General features: G+C 40.6%; 1 protein-coding gene across 12 annotated transcripts in view; it reads right to left on the bottom strand.

Moving 5' to 3' along the window:
- CEP95 (centrosomal protein 95) overlaps nucleotides 1-20,253 on the bottom strand; it is a 31,185-nt gene that overhangs the window by 2,996 nt on the left and 7,936 nt on the right. For 4 of the 12 annotated variants that reach the window (XM_047437012.1, XM_047437013.1, XM_005257779.4 and 1 more), the window contains 13 exons: nucleotides 18,123-18,228; nucleotides 15,515-15,630; nucleotides 13,424-13,549; nucleotides 12,056-12,249; nucleotides 9,069-9,181; nucleotides 8,751-8,880; nucleotides 7,687-7,840; nucleotides 5,524-5,663; nucleotides 3,933-4,025; nucleotides 2,929-3,061; nucleotides 1,943-2,112; nucleotides 1,760-1,834; nucleotides 214-366 (listed from right to left, as the gene is read on the bottom strand). In XM_047437012.1, the coding sequence (XP_047292968.1) occupies nucleotides 214-366; nucleotides 1,760-1,834; nucleotides 1,943-2,112; nucleotides 2,929-3,061; nucleotides 3,933-4,025; nucleotides 5,524-5,663; nucleotides 7,687-7,840; nucleotides 8,751-8,880; nucleotides 9,069-9,181; nucleotides 12,056-12,249; nucleotides 13,424-13,549; nucleotides 15,515-15,630; nucleotides 18,123-18,228 (1,703 nt within the window). Of the gene's footprint in view, nucleotides 1-213; nucleotides 367-1,759; nucleotides 1,835-1,942; nucleotides 4,026-5,523; nucleotides 5,664-7,686; nucleotides 7,841-8,750; nucleotides 8,881-9,068; nucleotides 9,182-12,055; nucleotides 12,250-13,407; nucleotides 13,550-15,514; nucleotides 15,631-18,122; nucleotides 18,229-20,253 lie in introns of those variants that run through there. The other 8 variants (NM_001316990.2, XM_047437014.1, XM_047437015.1 and 5 more) reach the window with 6 other exon arrangements.

Here is a 20,253-nt window from a genome sequence, read left to right as displayed (position 1 = left end):
TAAGATGAGGGACACGGAGACTGAGAATGGACGGGAATGCACAATGGAGTAAGAAAATGAAGTGTGGCCAAGCAGAACTCAGGGCCAGCACTATAGGACTTCAGTTTAGATTTTGGATTCAAATTTGGACAAGAGTCACGAACAAAGAAGGTGGTCCTGAAAGATAACAAAGTTCACCTTCTTAACAGGGCTGGACAGAAAAGTCAGACTTACCATTTCTTCCCGGGTCCTCATTCTCATCATTTTTGCACACAACTGAACTCTATAATCATCATAATATTTTCGAGCACGAACGATTTGCTGTCGATTTTCTTTTATCTTTGATTGGGTCAACCTTTGCCTACGAATGCAGTCCTTGAAGTCTTGCTAAGAAAGGGAAAGGGGAGGGAAGAGAAGGGTAAGGACAAGAGGAATGCAGATTCCAGCGTTCTCATCTGCCTCACTCCCCATCACGATGTCTTCAGGCAGTATGTCACGTGTGGGGGGCCAGTGGCCCCAGAAGCCCTTCAGCCTTTGGCAGCTTTATCACCTCAATCTGAAGAGCAGCTCCAATAACACCCCACTGCAGCAGAGGGCAGCAGTGATCCTGGGCACTCCTGTGGAACTGAGGGCTCACTCCCCATGCCACCAGGAAGCTGCTAACAAGGCTGGCCCAGATGCCACCTCACAAGGAGTAGGAAAATGGCACACCCAGACTTTCAAGCAGAGCCTGAGCTGCCAGGAGCATTTAGGCAAAAACTAAGGAAATTAGACAGTATCTGACAAAGGAGTGAAAATAAAATGGGGTCATGTACATAAAGCCTCTTATGTAGGTGTTTCAGATACTAGTGTTTTTTCCCTCCACAGGAAAGTACCATCTGCAGTTCCTGAGATGTCTTCCTGGAACTGTTCAGTATTACAGTTCTCATGGCTTATCTCTACTCCACACTCAGGCAAAGATTTTTAAATCTCTCCCTTTGGCAGATTGTTTCTGACCTCCATCCTCTCCCTTCGTAATTCTCTAAGCACAATTCCTAGTCAAAATTATAACGGAGGCTGATAAATCCTGGAGCTCTCTACTTGGGACCTGAGAAGGATGGGAGAGGGCAAACAGCACTAAGTTCAGCTGCTTGGCACCTAGATGGGTCCATGGAGTCCACAGACAGAACTGGATTAAAATCTCAGCTGTGTCCCTTGCTTATCAGTGAGACCCAGGGCAAGTTACTTAGTATCTCAAAGCTTCAGGGTTTTCATTTCATAGAAAACATCTCTAATACATTACTATGAAGACTAACTGAAACTGTGTATATAAAGTACCTAGCTCTTCCTCCTGCCCATTTTGGGTTTGTGTGTTTTGTTGTTGTTGAGACAGGGTCTCACTCTGGCACCCAGGCTGGAGTGCAGTGGCAAGATCATAGCTCACTGCAGCCTCGCCCTCCCACGTTCAAGTGATCCTCCCACTTCAGCCTCCCAAGTAGCTGGGACCACAGGCAAATGCCACCATGCCAGGCTCATTTTTTCCACACCCATATATATATTTTTAATGACAGGGTCCCACTATGTTGCTGAGGCTGGTCTCAAGTGATCCTCTCACCTCAGCCTCCCAAAGTGCTGGGATTACAGGCATGGGCTATCAATTTTGGTTAAAGACCTAGGCAACACTTCCACATGCAGGTGTTAAGAGGTTAAGGGTCTGTGCAACTGTTGCCCAGCTAGCACAGATAAAGGGAATGAATATAACAAATTCAGAATTATAATACCCAACTTGCTCTTGACATACCAGTCTCTTGTTATGTTCATATTCTTTCTTGACAAGGGTAGTAAGGAGGTCATGCCTTCTTAGGGCTTCTTCTATCTTGAAGGGGGACATGAAGTTAAGTAGGTTAATAATGCTGTTCACTAAATTCTTAAGGATAAGCTCTTCTCATTTAAATTCCTATGCTTAAGACTGACAGTAACTTACTTCATCTTGGAGTTTCTTCTTTGATCGATTTTCTCTACATGCTTCTTTCTTAAGCTGTTCAACCTGTGCAATTTGCTGTTTCCACATTTTGCTTAGTGTTGGGCCAGAAACATAAAGAAACGGAAACTGCTCCAGCATAAGGGGCAGGAGACTGTGTTCACTTACTTTCACTGCAAGGTAAAATAAGATGTTCTTAATCTGAGACGTGGACAAGAACTGTCATCCAACATCCCTGGTAGATCAAAGCTTATGTAAGTGATGTGGTTTTGATCCTGAAAAGAACAATTCTAAATGTACTTATAATAATTTGCATTACTCCTCTGATTGGAGTAAGCCAACTACTGGTAAGGATAAAAATAAGCTCAATAGTTCTGGATTGATGCCATGCTGGTCCTGGGAAGTCCATCCTAATTGCTCAGCCGCTTCAGTGCCTGTGGGTAGATTCTCTACGTACGGTAAAACAAGACTCCTCAACCTTCCCGGTAGGCAAGTGCTTAGAAGAAAAAGTTTCTGGTCTAAAGGATAGAGTAGGAGGGCCAGCAGTCTTTGGGTGTAACAGGAAGCCTGGCATTTCTCATGACTTTGTTTCTTGTAACAAGACTCTACACTCATTGGCACTGTCAATATATAGGAGGTGGACAGGCCATCTGCTTGCCTTGGAGCATCCCTTTCATTCTACCAACCTCCCAGAAATAGACAAAAAGGCAGTCAAAGTGAGTAAGCACACGAGTGAGGCTAACGCTGGAGCAGCAGGTGGCAGTCCTGGCATTCCTTGGGTGCCAATATATAGGCCTCCCTGAAGTACTTCCTTATTGAAGAGTTTTAGCCCTCTACGGAAAACCAGCCACATGGCAGTGATTGGGAAAAAAAAAAAACTTTCTTCGGCTAACTGGTGGATGTTAGCTTTCAGTGCTGTGTCCTTGGAATGTTGCACATGCTTTCAAAGGTTGCCAGTTTTCCATAAAGTACAATTCTGTGGTTCTTACTTGGAACTGCTTTATTTGGCTTTGGGAGGCCACCTCTTAGACTCTGCGTTGTGGTTTTTCTAGAGTAAATCTTCCAGGGCTGACTACATTCTGGAGTTCCTTTACGAACAGCTTCTCCTCTGTATATTTTTTCCTTAGAAGCAGATATAAAACAGAATAAAAATAAAAGGTCTAACAGTTCTTTCATACATCATCTTAAATATTACATACTGACAAAAACAGCTAACGGTAGTTTTTTAGTTTTTTAGCTAACAGTAAGCCAAACCACCTTACTTCAAATTTGTAAAATCTGGTTAATATTCATTTACTCTAAGTTAAATGCACCTTTTGGCCTCTGGCATCCCTTGGAATTTGAAAAAGCACTGAATCTTTTTCAAGTTTCAGTCACCATAGTCCCACACCCTAAATACAACCACTATTAATCTTTTTTTTAACCATTAATGTTTCAATGTACTTCTCTTTTTCCATGTAGATTTAAAAAATTCTCAGGCAACTATGCAGTATGCTTAGTTGTAACCATACTGTACTTTATATCCTGTTTTGTTCATGAATATTTTAGCATAAGCATTTTCCCCATGATTTCACTTAGTTTCTGTAACCATTCTTTTGAAAGGCAATGAAAACTTCTGTTTTGGGTTTCTTACAACCAGGTCTATAGCCAACTAGGATGTTCTGTCTTCTCTTACTCTTCTTTAATTTTGTCAGCCTAGAGTAGTTTTTAAGCCCCTGGTGAACTGCTAAGTCAAATAAACCCTTAAAAACTGATGGGAAGTTTTAAGTAGCGGAAAAACACTACTTTTCTTTGGAACCATGTCTCGTCATATTTTAGCAACCTGAATGCCTTATTAATAAGCAAGTCCTGTATCATGACATGAAATCCTGCCTTTTCCTAAAGAGCTCATGATTAAGGCCCTGTTGGCCCCTTCTTCTTTTAAAAAGATCATCTTTGTACTTCCCACTCATCTGATCAAATGGCATTTATTACAGTGGAGACTTTTACCCACTGTTTCCTCCTCCTTCTCATGTATTCTTAGAGGTCCAATATTCTCTTGAACTTTATGTCTTCTTAGTTCCCTTTCAAATGCTTCAGTAAACGCCTAAAGGGGAAAAGGTCATATATTACAGTTATTAAAAACATACACAACGGGCAGCACCATGGCTTAGCTGGTTAAAGCACCTGTCTAGTAAACAGGAGATCCTGAGTTTCAATTCCAATGGTGCCTCAACCGAGCATCCAAGCTCTTAGCCGCGTGCGGTGAGGATGAGACAGGTGGATCACCTGAGGTCAGGAGTTCAAGACCAGCCTGACCAACATGGAGAAACCCCATCTCTACTAAAAATACAAAATTAGCTGGGCGTGGTGGCACATGCCTGTAATCCCAGCTATTCGGGAGGCTGAGGCAGGAGAATCGCTTGAACCCGGGAAACGGAGGTTGAGGTAAGCCAAGATTATGCCATTGCACTCCAGCCTGGGCGGCAAGAGTGAATCTCCACCTTGAGAAAAAAAAAAAAAAAATACAAAAGAGGAAAAAAATTCACCTAGGATACCTGCCACCCCTAAAATATCAAGCTCATTCACTTTTTAAAAAAATTCCTTTCAGACTCTATATCACAAATGTATGGTTTTCTTGTTTTGTTTTTTGAGACAGTCGCACTCTCGCCCAGGCTGGAGGCAGTGGCACAAACTCAGCTCACTGCAACCTCCACTTCCCGAGTTCAAGTGATTCTCCTGCCTCAGCCTCCTGAGTAGCTGGGACTACAGGTGTGCACTGCCATGCCTGGCTAATTTTTGTATTTTTAGTAGAGATGGGGTTTCAACATGTTGGCCAGGCTGGTCTCGAACTCCCGACCTCAGGTGATCCACCTGTCTCACCCTCCCAAAGTGCAGGGCCACTGCACCTGCCTCACAAATCTCTACATTACTTTAACATATATAATTGGGACATAAAATGAAATTTTACATCATGCGTTTTTTCTGTTCTCAAGTTTTTGCAATCATTTTGATACTCTCCTGAGTGGAAGTTACATGCTGAGTTACAAATGAGTGTAAGATGTCTGAATTGGTTTTAGTTTTTCACCATTATAAATCCTACCGCATTATAAAACCTACTACTGCAAATAAGTGTTCTAAATCCATGCTACATTTCAAAATCCACATTCCACAGTGGAAAGTCTTCCTAGGTAATCATACCAATCTCCCTGTTGTTGAATCCCAACCACCTCCTCTCATTCCTGTCTTGGGTACTTGATCTCATCTTCTCTGTAACTCAAGTGGCCTTTCACGTTTAATCCACCTCAAATTCCCTTCATCTCTGAAGCTCACTCTGAAAATAACAACTCACACTGATCTCCTCTTTCTTAATCTACTGGAACACCAAGCTATGTCCAGCCAGGTTATTTTTTTTAAGAGTTTCATGAGTATAATTTTATGCTAACAAAGACATAAGCTATGTCACATAGCTCTCTATCATCCACTCCGCTCAAGAATATTAAATGTATTTTAAGCCTAAATCAACAGCATGTTCATGGTAGCATCTGGCTGAGGGGAAATGGTACTGGCTGCTGCTTAATGGTAGTCAAGAGATGGGGAAGAACCTGTGCTTGGAATTGGCGGACATCTGTTTCTCTTGGCTTGCGCTGCCTTTTTCTCTCCAAGTGGAACTGTTTGTGTTTGTTAACTGGAGATGGAGAGAGCGAATGGGATCTGTAGGGTGGCTTTCTACGCATGGAAAGTCCTGCAACAGAGAAAAGACATATAACATTAGTTCCTGATAGCCAGAATGTTATGCTGGAAACCAAAGTTGGTTTTCACTAAATCCAAAGAGACTGATGAGTGAATGTGCTAAAGGGACTCTCTCCTGTAACTAACTTGAATTGGTATGGTAACACCAAGTAAACAGACAAATGCATACAAATGTGTACTGTCTCAAATACTTAGCTTCTACATTCAACTTTGGATATTCAACATGTGGAATGCCTCCTATGCACAAAGGACTATGGAGAGTGCTCTTGGTGATAGGGGGAGATGCAAAGAGAGAAAAGGTAAATTATCTGAGCCACGCATCTGCTATCCTTTTACCTATCTGGGTCCTGAGAAGGTGGGATGTAAGCATACATATCTATCTTATTATATATGCTTATAGGCAAAGTTAATGTGTTAAGCATTGTCTAAGTGGTCTCAATTTTTCCCTACTTAGCAATCTAGCCCTCCTAATTGCACACTGCCAAAGAGATCTAATAAACCATTTCCTTCTACAAACCTTTTTATCCCATTGTCTATAGGTGTGTCTGGGGATCTGCTAGTTGTGAAGAGGGTGACTCCAGTGGGAAAAGCACTTCAACATAGCCTTAAGACCAAGGAAGCTAGTTTGGTACCTTTATAAATAAATTTTCCGAGCTTATTATTTTTTTCACATGCTTTTAATTCAAGTCTTTCACATTTCAAATTCTAAGATGTATTTTTAAAAACTGACTTGCATAATCTATTTTAAATGATAGCTGCTCATGATGTATTTTTCTCTAGAAACTGAAGACGCACTTGAAATAATATTTTAATTTATAACCTGTTTTCACAATAGGATACCATGTGTATGTACATAAAAAGGGAAAGGAAGAGGTTCCTGGATGAGGGTGCCTAGAAATTAGCTGAGTCCTTTTAAAGGGAAGAGAGAGGAAATAATCAAGAGAAGGAAAGAGCATTCTTGAAGGAGTAAAAAACAACTGAAAAAGTTAAGGAAGTTGGATCAGAAAAAGACTATTTCTGAAGAAACAATGGATGACCAAAGTAGATAAAACTAAATGTAAAATATGCAGGATTTTAGTTGGTGGAAGACAGGATAATTGGATTTGAACAATGGCATATCAAACAGTAGAAGTATCTGCAAAGACACGGCAAACCAGAAACTGCTGATACGAGTATAAAGCAGTGCAATCACTTTGGTGGGCAAGTTGGCAGTGGTGAAGAAATGTAGGCCTTATGATCCAGCAATCCTACTAGATGGAGATATCACAGAAACTCTTACACATATTCTAGGCTGTTCATTGCAGAATTTTTATAGTAATGAAAACTGGAAACAACATGTCCAGCAATAGGGGAAATAGATAGTGCTACACGCGTGTGTGTGTGTGTGTATATATATATATATATATATACACACACACACACACACATTAAGTGGCACACTGCAAGAACTCAGTCATGTCCAGCAGTAGGGGAAATGGATACTGCTATACATATACCCACACAAAAGTGACACACTGTAAGAACTCAGTTACACTGCAGTTAAAATGAATGAGCTGGATCTGTAAGGATCAACATAAATAGATTTCTAAGACAATGTCAGAAAAAAACGCAAGTTGCAGAATAATATATACAGTATGTAAATTTTTAAACAACATAAAACAATACTATGTTTAGACAAGTAATGCATGAGCTCTTAAAGTATAAAAACAAGGATCAGAAGAAAAGATGCCAACTTTAAGACAGTGGTTGCACTGAGGGTGGGGAAAAGAGATCTGTGGGGAGAGCAGAGGGGGTTTCTACTGTTTTATTTCTTAAACACAAAGGGGCTAAAGCAAATATAATTGTTAACACTTGCTACTTCTAGATGGGGAAGATCCAGGTGTTTGATATTACTTTTGATCCTTTTATATATTTCTCAACTATTTAAAATTAGAATATAAGTTATTAAGAACAGATGGAACTGCCTAAGTAGTTCACATGGATGTCCCCCTTCTCAGTCTCTCTGGGGTAAGTACCTGGCCTTGACTTCTTTGGCCCATACTCCACGATGCCATCACTGTGCTGAGACAGTGTCTCCTCAGTTCCATCCTCTACCTCCTCATTTCCAGTATTTTCTTCTTTATGGTCAGTCTTTTCTTTAATCCGATCACCCAGAGCACTTTTTAACATCTATTGAGAAAATTCTTTTCAACATCTTTCACTGATTTCAGCAGAATGTAAATTCGTAGGAGTAGGCAGACCTTTAAAAAAGCTTCCTTTGACAGTCACTAATAACAAGTTTTCAGACGCTTATGCATGTTTAATTATTTACTTTTATTTTGAGACAGGATCTCACTCTGTCACCCAGGCTGGAGTGCAGTGGTGCTAGCTGGGCTCACTGTAACCTCTGCCTACTGGGTTCCAGTGATCCTCCCATCTCAACCACTTGAGTAGCTGGGATTACAGGCATATGCCACCAAGCCTGGCTAATCTTTTATTTTTTGTAGAGATGGGGTTTTGCCATGTTGCCCAGGCTGGTCTCAAACTCCTGGGCTTAAGTGATCCACCTGCCTCAGCCTCTCAAAGTGTTGGAATTACAGTTGTGAGCCACCACACCTGGCATACATGTTTAGTTTTAAAAAGGTGTATATCAGTGCTATGGATCACTAAGTTTCAATAAACTTTAGAAAAAGTCACGTAGGGATTTAAAACATTCATTCAATGATACCTTAAAACTGTAATATTGTATTTTGTGAGAATCAGTGATCCATCCAATTTTATACCAGATCTGTCTTTAGCGGCAAAGGGGAACTATAAAGACATATCTAAAGAAAAATGGCTTAACATAATCGTTTATGTTAAATGATTTAGTTTTCATCAGAATTCAATAAAATTTGGATAAATCTGCACCAAATTTAGTTAGATCATGAAACGCTGAGAGATCACTTCCTGTTCTACCTGCTTGACTTACGGAACATTTTCACAGTAACTATTAATAAGACACAACTAATTTTCTAATACCTCACTTTCAATTGAGAGATTACTTAAATGCTCACTTAACCCATGGGAATCTCAATATAGATGAAAAAACAAGACTTGCCCAATCTAGTTCAGAAAGCCGCTGAGAGAGTTTTTCTGATACATCATGTAATTCTTGTTCTGTTAATCTCTTTCTTGGCCTCTGGGGGAAAGGTGAATTGCAGGATGAGGCTGTAGCTCTGTTTTCATTTCTGTAATAAAAGTGACCATTTGACAGTAAAATAGCTAGGTGTCTATTATTTAGTTTAAAATAACTGTAATACGTACTTTAACAAATACTTCATTCTGGTCTTCACAGCTAAATTTGGAGATCATGCCCCTGCATTTTCAAATTCCTTTGTAAACAGACTGTAAACACTGAAGTCTGCAGTAATGTTACCTTTTTCCTTTGGGAGGCTTCCTTGTCCTAGGCCCTTGGACCTGAGCTGGATATACTTCCCATTTGCTGCCTTTAGGCAACTTGGAAATTAAGAAAAGTCCATCATCTAGATCCTATTAAAAACAGAAAAAAAGTTGATTTGAAAAAGCTACAAATAAGAAACATGAACTTTCTGGGAGTGAGGAAGGGAGGAACTGTGGCACAAAGCTACGTGCCTTCAATCTCCGTGTTTTGAAGTGCATTTGTCAAAAGACCCTATTGACACCCAGTGCACCAAAGGACTGGAGCAATGTCTAGAAACTTGTGCTCAGAGAACAAATGTGGCTCAGGATGCCATTCAAATAAAAACACAGGCCAGGTGTTCTCTAAATATGAAATTTCAGGGATTACCACTATACCTGAGCAACAAAAAAATTATCACTAGTACAAAGTATTCAAGTGGCTATCTTTTGTATCAATGTCAATAAAGGCTGTCCAAAATTGAAACAGTTAAAACAAAGACAACACCTCTCAAAATATGAATATAAACCCTTAACATTTTAAATTTCCTTTTTTTTTTGAGACAGTTTTCCTCTGTTGCCTAGGCTGGAGTGCAATGGCTTGATCCGCCTCCCAGGTTCAAGCGATTCTCCTGCCTCAGCCTCCCTAGTAGCTGGGATTACAGGTATATGCCACAACACCTGGCTAATTTTTTTGTGTATTTTTAGTAAAGACGGTGTTTCGCATGTTGGCCAGGCTGGTCTCGAACTCCTGACCTCGAGTGATCCACCCGCCTCAGCCTCTCAAAGTGCTGGGATTACAGGCATGAGCTACCGTGTCCGGCTAAATTTATTTCTTGGTCTTAGAGATAATCTTTTAGAAAATACTTCTTGTGATGAAGAAACATTTAATGTTTGTTTGTTTTTTTGTTTTTTGAGATGGGGTCTTACTGTCACCCAGGCTGGAGTGCAGTGGTGCAGTCTTGGGTCACTGCAACCTCCACCTCCTGGGTTCAAGCAATTCTCCTGACTCAGCCTCCAGAGTAGCTGGGATTACAGGCACCTGCCACCGCGCCTGGCTAATTTTTGTATTTTCAGTAGAGACAGGGTTTCACCATCTTGGCCAGGCTGGTCTTGAACTCCTGACCTCGTGATCCACCCACCTCAGCCTCTCAAAGTGCTGGGATTACAGGTGTGAGCCACCGCACCCGGCCATTTATTTAATGTTTAATGATATCTTTAATTTCACTTCATTATCTTTTTCTATTAAAGTAAAATTAAATACCCTTTAGTAGGCTGGGTATGGTGATTCATGCCTATAATCTCAGCAATCTGGGAAGCAGAGGCAGGCAGGTGAGGCCAGGAGTTTGAGACCAGCCTGGCCAACATGGCAAAACCCCGTCTCTACTAAAAATATTTTTAAAAAAAATCAGCCAGGTGTGGTGGCACGTGTGCCTGTAGTCCCAGCTACTTGGGAGGCTGAGGCAGGAGAATCACTTGCCTGGGAGGTGGAGGTTGCAGTGGGTGCAGACTGCACCACTACACTCCAGCCTGGGCGACACAGCGACACTCTGTCTCAAAAAAAAATAAAACAAACAACCTTTTACTAAATAGCAACTAAAATATAATCATATTTTAATAAAACTTTTAAAATAAAGTATTTCTAGCTCAATGAATTATTTGAAAATAAACACTCCCCTTTAACTGCCACCCAGGTCAAGAAACAGAGTATTACCAACTCAGAAATATCTCTAAAACCCCCACTATGATTCCCCCAAAAGTAAACATTATCTTATGACTCCATTTTAACACCTCTTTTTATCTAATCCCTCTCCTGTTTAGATGCACAGAATGTTGAGAATGTGGTCACCTATTGTTAATAATGCTTATTTCATCTCTGTACTTTTAATGCATTGCTTGAATGTTTAAATAATGAAAATGTATCACTGTTTATATATCTACCCTGTGTACATACCTGCCTGTTGTTTTTCTTATTTTATTTTTTTCTTTTTGAGACAGGGTCTTGCTCTGCTGCCCAGGCTGGAATGCAGTGGTGTGGTCACAGCTCACTGAAGCTCCTGGGCTCAAGTGATCCTCCTGCCTCAGCCTACTAAGTAGCTAAGATCACAGGCATGCACCACCACTCCAGGCTAATTTTCTATTTTTAGCAGAGACAAGGTCTCACTATGTTTCCCAGGGTGGTCTCAAACTCTGGCACTCACATGAGCCTCCCAAAGTGCTGGGATTATGGGTGTGAGCCACCGAACCCAGTCCTGTTCTTTTTAGAAAGATAAGGACAGGATGACTATATAAAAAAGGTTTTTTCTTTTTTTTTTTTGAGATGAAGTCTTACTCTGTCACCCAGGCTGGAGCGCAGTGGCGTGATCTTGGCTCACTGCAATTGAACCAAATAGATCAATATGTTAACAGTGGTTCATGGTGGATAATGGGAATATGCATGGATGGTTATTTTCTTTTCCACTCTGTGTTTTCTAAATTTGAAATTATTAAATTACGGACACAATATGGACTCTGAAGCCAGAATGTCCAAGTTCAAATCCTGACTCTGTAATTGCTGTGTAACCTTGCCCTCTCTACATCAGCTTCCCAACAATAAATAAATATAGTAGCTACTCCAGAGTTGTTATGGGCAGTAAATTATTCAATACCCCTAAAGTATCCAGAACTGCGCCTGGCACAACATAAACATTCACTATGTGTTGGCTCTTATTATTTCCCTTTATATGCATTCGTTTTTCTCCTATCTTCCTAGAACAAGAATGTGCAGGTGTATACAGAGGCAAATTTTAAGGAGTACGATGCTTTGACTAGTGCAATATGCTTGACAATTCTAGCAGACTTCTTTAAATATAGGGGCTTCCTTGACAAAGAATAAAGACTTCACCAATACACATACACACACACGGCCTTCTAATCAATTACCAACACACACACAGACATACATACAAGTGTACTTCTAGCCAACTGAAAGTAAGCTTTTCCACTTACCCCAGAAAATTCCGTATGCTCTCCAGTAGAATTTACGGCTGGGGAGCAGTGACTTGAATGCAAGTATTCTTTTCCTATGGGGCAGGGTGCTCGAGGCTCTGAAGGGTGGTAGGGTGGATGTAAAGGAATAGCTGCTCGGATAGGCTCCCCTAGCTTCCTAGCATTTGGAATCCCACTCACAGAAAGGGTTTCCGCTAGTAAGACAAATTAAAGTGGATATTACGATGCAATTCTAAGAAATAAACCATTTTATATACATACATACATACCTATATAAACATGTTCACATACATTAGAAATATTTTTTAAACTTAAGACAAAGCACATAAAAAAATAATTAAACCAGGGATATAGCCTCAGCACACAGGGATCTAATTAAATTAGGATGTAATTTTTTTTTTTTAATTTTTAAAAAAAGTAGAGATGAGGTCTCGCTATGTTGCCCAGGCTGGTCTCCAACTCCTGGGCTCAAGTGATCCTCCTGCCTCGGCCTCCCAAAGTGCTGGGATTACAAGTGTGAACTACCATGACTGGCCCCGGATGTAATTTTAATGTTATTATCATAAAACTGTTCCCTGAAAGTTACTTTAAAAACTGGAAGCAACTTAAATGGCTTGAAGAATGTTATGTTATGTGAATTATGGTTCGTCCACGTTACAAAACCAGTTAGGCAGTAATATTTTTATGTATTACTACCATATGAAAATTCCAGAGATGATAATAAGAAACAAGAATGATTTTTCCAGGCCGGGTGCGGGAGCTCACGCTTGTAATCTCAGCAATTTGGGAGGCTGAGGCAGGCGGATCACGAGGTCATGAGTTCGAGACCAGCCTGGCCAACATGGTGAAACCCCATCTCTACTAAAAATAAGTTAGCTGGGCGTGGTAGCAAGCGCCTATAATCCCAGCTACTTGGGAGGCTGAGGCAGGAGAATCGCTTGAACCCAGGAGGCGGAGGTTGCAGTGAGCCGAGATCATGCCACTGCACTCCAGCCTGGGCAACAGAGCTAGACTCTGTCTCGAAACAATAAAAAAAGAATGTTTTTCCAGTTACTATACTTTGTTATTTACCAATAATATGAAGACCACCAATAGATGTACTAATGTGTCAGAGACTCTGTCCCATTAAAAAAAAAAGGTAAGTGGTGAGAATTTAGATAATAAAATAGTGGATGCAAAAATATGCAACCAAAGACCATGTTAAGCAGAATTCAGATACCATAATTAATAGCAAACATTTACAAGTAAGATCATGTAAGACCAAAAAGGATCTCATATACAGCAATAAAAGTAAAAAGGCTAATGGCAACAACAATTGCCCCAAGAATGATCATCAGCAGTAAAGAACTAACATCCATTACAACTCACTGTCTTCAACAAAGGATGTCCTACTCTTGGACAAAACACTAGGAGGGTACAACATATCTTCATGTGATTTAGAACTTGGTGAGGCTAAGGCTTTTTTAGACAGCATTTCATTAGGACATTGAGCACCTAGGAAAGAAAATATTAAAGGTAAAATTTTTAACTATCAAAATAGTTTGCTGAACATTATACTAAAAGCCAAGAGTTTTGTACTCAGGAAACAAATATTAAATAATGTTGAACGAAATAATGTTGGTCCAACTGCTCAAAATACCAATTATTATTTTTCTTTTTCAGACAGCATTTCCCTCTTGTCGCCAGGCTGCAGTGCAATGGCGTGATCTCGCTGCACTGCAACCTCCACCTTCCAGGTTCAAGCAATTCTCCTGCCTCAGCCTCCAGAGTAGCTGGGACTACAGGCACCCGCCACCATGCCTGGCTAATTTTTTGTATTGTGACAGGGTTTCACTATGTTGGCCAGGCTGGTCTCGAACTCCTACCTCAGGTGATCCGCCCACCTCAGCCTCCCAAAGTACTGGGATTACAGGCGTGAGCCACTGTGACGGGCCATAATATCAATTATTTTTAATTGCTATCAGAAAGTAAGATGCCATTTTGTAATCCAGAATCATTTATACAATTTAAAAGCAAAGTTTCATACAATGTTTCATTATTTAGCTTTAGAAAAATAGATGCCAGAGTTACGGAAATGCTGGCTGTTTTATGGACATGTCTTGGTATGAATAGACACCAGAGTTAGGGTCTTAGCTAGTACCAGAAACATGGACTCATGGTCCAGGCCAAGCGCAGTGGCTCATACCTGTAATCTCAGTACTTTGGGAGGCCAAGGCAGGCAGATCACTTGAGGTTATTAGTTCAAGACCAGCTTAGCCAATATGGCGAAACCCCATCTCTACTAAAAATACAAAAATCAGCTGGGCATGTGGCACATACTTGTAATCCCAGCCGCTTGAGAGGCTGAGGCAGAGGTTGCAGTGAGCCGAGATTGCGCCACCGCACTCCACCCTGGGTGACAGAGCAAGACCTAGTGTCAAAAAAAAAAAAAAAAAAAGACTATGGTCCATATATTGAAGCTTAAATTAGATGCCTGTGAATGTATATGACAGTTATCTGACACTTTAAATCTCAATATGAAAGGAAGCTGCCATAAGCCCTTTTATCACATCAAACCCAAACACCTTGGCCAGGCATCTCTCTGAATCTTTTTTCCTTTGCCTTAATTGCATTACTCTTAAACACAATTCCCCTCTCTACTTATAATGTTAAAATAAGTAATTCATTTTACAGTAACATCTTTTTTACATAGCACTTGACATCACAGAACCCGTTTCTGCAATCACCATCCCTTCCATTCCCAATCAATCCATCTGATTCTCCTACTTCAAGAAACATTTTTGTAGTATCCACACTTGACTCTGGTCCTTCCGTTTCTGTGCCTATCCCAATGGCAAGCATAGCTTTTTGGTCTACTGGAGGGTGAGTTTGCCAGGAACCAAAAGTAAGGGAGAACATTCCAAGACTTGTGGTCCATATACTGGTTTAGTAATTTATGAAGCCACGGTGGACAGGATGGAGTAGGATGATTGGAGGAGGGCAAGGTTGGAGGCTCAAAATTGGGGCTTGAAAGATATCCGGGTCTACTATGTGCAAGCAATAGGCTGTTGGAAATCTGGCCTGAAGCCTAGAAGAAAAATTGCTACTGCATATACGAACTTATTGGTTCAAACAATGAAAAAAGTGAGTCAACCACCAGTTCAGGAAACTACAATTAAAGAATACCCTGAAAGCGTGACCAGACTATAAGCTGCATCCATAATTCTCTTCCCAGGTTATAAGGAACCGCAAATTACCTAATAACCTTGCATACACTTATTTGCCTTGGACTTATCTGCCCATATGCCTGCGACTTCAGATAAGTGTTCATATTTAATGGGTAGTGGGATATTCTGGAATTTCAAATCCCATGTCCAGTTAGCACTCTATTCTTCTCAATTTTAAACACTCCTACATACCATTTACATTTTTATAGTTGTATGTTGAATAATAACTGATACTTCAGGTTTAACTACTCACCATTACTTCTTAGAGAAAAGGTGTGTGCTGTGTCTCCAAGTCTAATGATTTCACCAGTGGATTCTGCTTCATCTCCATCCCAAGAGGGGCCCAACATCTCAGAAGACAAGGAGCACCTGGAAAAGTTCCCTCCTTCACTCAGGGCCCAGCCTGACCAGAGGGCCCTTCCCCTGAGGACCTGGAGAGCTGCTGGGTGCAGAAAAAGGAAAAGACTCTCCCTTTTGCTGCTTAGCATGTCTTGCTGCTTATGTTTTGTTTTCACTGATATATGAATGGTAGAAATAGCTGTATATAAAGTGTCAACGATTAAATGTATAGGAGAACAGCAAATACTGGTGACTCTAGGGTGTGGGAGTGAAGGGGGTGGGATGCTAACTTTGCATTAAATATCCTTCAATTGTTTCACTTTTGCGCTTATTTTGTTACTTTAAAATTCTTATGGAAAGAAGTTCATCAGGCCGGGCATGGTAGCTCACACCTGTAATCCTAGCACTTTGGGAGGCAGACATAGGTGGATTGCCTGAGGTCAGGGTTTGCGACCAGCCTGGCCAACATAGTGAAACCCCATCTCTACTAAAAATACAAAAAATTAGCTGGACGTGGTGGCAGGCGCCTGTAATCCCAGCTACTTTGGAGGCTGAGGCGGGAGAACTGCTTGAACCTGGGAGGCAGAGGTTGCAGTGAGCCGAGATTGCACCACTGCACTCCAGCCTGGGCAACAAGAGCAAAACTCTGTCTCAAAAAAAAAAAAATTTCATCTTATGATGGTCTCCTCTGAGACACATTTTTTACAATGTACTATACCTAAAAAAGAAGGCATTGCCTGTGCTCTTCGAACCATGAAGACATAGCATTATGCTCAACCTCTAGTTAGCAAGAAGTGCAATCAAACCTGTCATGACAATACATTTTTGTCTATGAAAGAAGCACAAGTTTAAAAACTGTGAAAATGATCAATGATACTGGCTCATGAAGGTCCTGTAACCCAGCATTGCTATACTGTTGGTAAATGTACAGTCATGGCCTTTTTGGAAAACAGTCTGGCAACTTTTATTATTAGCCTTAAAACATTTACACTGTCTTACTCTGAATCTAGCCTCAAGATATGAGGAAAAAAAGAATAAACATTAAGTATCACGTTTTTGATAATATTTAAAAAAACTCTCTACTTTAGAGGAATGGCTTAGTAATTTATGAAGCATCCACATGAATGATGTTATACAGTGATTACAAATTATTATAAAGAATTTAACAACTTGAGGCTGGGCGCAGGGGCTCACGCCTGTAATCCCACCACTTTGGGAGGCTGAGGCAGGCGGATCACTTGAGGTCAGGAGTTCAAGACCAGCCTTGCCAACACGGTGAAAACTCACCTTTACTAAAGATACAAAAATTAGCCAGCCGTGGCGGCGTGCACCTGTAGTCCCAGCTACTCAGGAGGCTGAGGCACAAGAATCACTCGAAACCGGGAGGCAGAGGTTGCAGTAAGCTGAGATTGTGCCACTGCACACTCCAGCCTGTGTGACACAGCAAGACTGTGTCTCAAAAAAAAAATTAAACAACTTGAGAACACTTAATGTTAAGTTTAAAAATGCAGGAAACGAGCCTGGTGAGGTGGGTCATGCCTATAATCCCAGCACTCTGGGAGGCTGCAGCAGGAGGATCGCTTGAGGCCAGGAATTCAAGACCAGCCTGGTCAATATAGCAAGATGCCATCTCTGTTAAAAAAAAAAAAAAAAAAAAAAATTAGCCAGGTGTGGTGGCGCACACCTGTGGTCCCAGCTACTTGGGCTTAAGCTCAGGAGTTCAAGGCTACAGTGAACTCTGATCACGCCACTGTACTCCACCATGAGTGTCAGAGCAAGACCCTGTCTCTTTATTAAAAAAGCAGGGGTGAGGGGCAGGCAACGAAATTATATAGACATATGACTAAATCCAAAAAAGAAAAAAATAGTAAAAAGGACTAAAAAATTTAACAAAATGTTAACAGCAGTTATTTAGTTCGGAATAGATTTTTTTTCCTGCTTTTTCTATTTTGCAAGTTTTTTGCAAAGATGATGACGTACTTTGATGATTAAGAGAAAAACAGGGACCAGGCGCGGTGGCTCATGCCTGTAATCCCAGCACTTTGGGAGGACAAGGCAGGTGGATCACCTGAGATCAGGAGTTCGAGGCCAGCCTGACCAACATGGTGAAACCCCATCTCTACTAAAAATATAAAAATTAGCCGGGCATGGTGGCGCGTGCCTGTAATCCCAGCTACTCAGGAGGCTGAGGCAGGAGAATCCCTTGAACCTGGGAAGCAGAGTTTGCAGTGAGTCGAGATCATGCCACCACACTCCAGCCTGGGCAACAGAATGAGACTCCGTCTCAAAAAAGAAAAAAAAAGAAAAATATAAAAATGAGTAGATAGTTGATACTGAGATTTAGGTATTATATGTAACTCAAGGTTCTTAAAACTCCCTCAGGAAAGTTTAAAATATGAGAAGTTAGTAGAAGTTTCACATTAGCTTTTTTTGGTGCCATCTTGGTATATTACGTGTGATTTTAATTCTTAGTCCAAAAAGCGTAACTTGTTTTCATCAAATTCAGAGACACTAAGTGCTACCTCCCAAAAGAAACTCTTTTCCATGATGATTTAGATTCTTTAGTACTTTCTGGCTCTTCCAAACGTTCTCCTCGATCAGATTCTTTAAAATACTGTTCAGTTTCACCTGTTCAGAACAGATAAAAACAATACCAAAAAACCCCTAAGTGAATACTACTTTTTCTATGTAAGAGGCAGGGAAAGGTAAGGACAGTGAGGCACCCCTAACTTGCCATGGTAAACAGGGTTCTAGTGAAAGTGCAATCAGAAAGAACCAAATCACCTGTAATGAGCATGTATTATTCGAGTAACAAAGAAACAAGAATATTGCTTTAAAAACAGGGTCTACAGTTGTATGAGCAATGTTTTATTTTTTAAGTCAGTGGCAGGTCCATTCAATATTTTTATACCTCTCCATCTGTAAAGGATGTCTGAGGTATATCAAGGTGACAGAAAACGTGATTGTGTCAACATAATGCAAGCTCCAAGATAATCATGCCTTAGGCTGAGTCAGGCTGTATCAGGGCTTGGATGAAATTTTTCTTAAGACCATCAGTCTTTTTCCACCCCACCATACTTGAAGAATACATACTTTCACCAGTAGCTATAACTCACTAGGGAAATAATTTCAAAATACATGTAGGTGAAACCTCCCATGATTCAGATTTACCCCTTTGGATATTCTCATGCCCATGTCTAGAGATTCACCATTCAAACACCCACCTTCATTTTTTTCTACTTCCATATTCACCAAGCAACATTTCAATAACATCAATTAACATTTATTATGCATTTACTCTGAGCTAGGCTGTGTGCCCAACTGTTTACACACATCTACTTACTTAACTTTCACAACAACCATGAAAGAATTTCAGATGAGAAAACAGGCTTAGAGAGCTGCCATCATATAGTGAGAGGAAGAACCCAGCACTGAACCCATGGTCTTCCTTCGAACCCCTCCTTCTTCAGTGGTAAATGATAATGCTAGCTCAGGTCCCAGGTTGAAGCTGCCCTGCACAGCTGATATGATTAGTGATAATAAAGATTTGTTTCCCATTACTGTTAACTGGCATTTTGAAGAACCTGATCAGCTCTAGGAAATATTGCCAGGTAAGTATATATTAGACCTGCAAAGATGAGAAGCAGACTGTAAGAAAATGCTGTCCAGCTAAGGTACTGTCATATAGGGAAGCCTATCTGAGCAACTTCCCCAGTAGCTCACCACATACTGCCGATCTCCCCTGGGAATATCCTTCAGTCTTTCACCACCACCAGACTCACATAAAAGTATCTCTCAGTTGCCTCCTCCTCTCTTCATCCCCACTGCCATATCATTAGCCAGGCACTACCATCCCTCCCCTTCCTGCGAGCAAGCACTAAACTGTAAAAAACTGCTGCTCTCTTTACATTTCAAATTAATCTCAATCTCTTTACTTAGAGGTTGTTTTCTACCTCTTAACCCTGTTACTAAAAAGACTAGAAAGGTACACAGCATACAAATACCTACTGGTAGCCTTGAATTAGGTGAGTCCCACCTGTCAATACTCTCCCCTAGTTCTAATTCCCCCTTTATGCTTTTATTGTATGTAGTTATGGCTGTCTCCCTGACTCAAGTACAGGTTTGAGAGTATCAACATGACAAGCAGCTTGGAATCCTCCCAGAGTACCCAGACGCCTATAAAACACTCAATTTTTGAAACAAAGAAATGTCCAGTGTGGCAGACTTTTCAATTTTCCCTCCCAGTTTTTAAACAGTTTAGTAACAATGATTAAAGGTAGGAAACTATCTCTAACTAAAGACTTTAAGATTAATTTCAAATGTGACTATCACAGGTCTCACTATAAACAAAGTGAGAATGGAGGATGAGCCTACCCCAATTTTTTGTCTTAATTTGTATTCGAATTTATGTAAATTGTGGTTGCTGCTGAAAGTTTATTTTTGATAACTTTTCAACATAAGAACAGGTAATATATTATTCCATTCGTGACCAACAGCATTATTTACTTAATCTCAAATTATTAAGACAGTTAAGTTCTTTCACTTTTTGCAATGACAAATATCTGAAATATTTAGGCTGTCACAAATGTAAGTGCAGGCTAAAGACACAAATGCACCAATTCTTCCTGTTGATGCCTCAGTAACATCCAAATA

The sequence above is a fragment of the Homo sapiens genome, chromosome 17 (assembly GCF_000001405.40).
Source record: "Homo sapiens chromosome 17, GRCh38.p14 Primary Assembly".
NCBI classification, from domain to species: domain Eukaryota; kingdom Metazoa; phylum Chordata; class Mammalia; order Primates; family Hominidae; genus Homo; species Homo sapiens.
The sequence above is the reverse complement of the archived record's forward strand: the minus strand, read 5'-3'. Positions and strand labels throughout refer to the sequence as shown.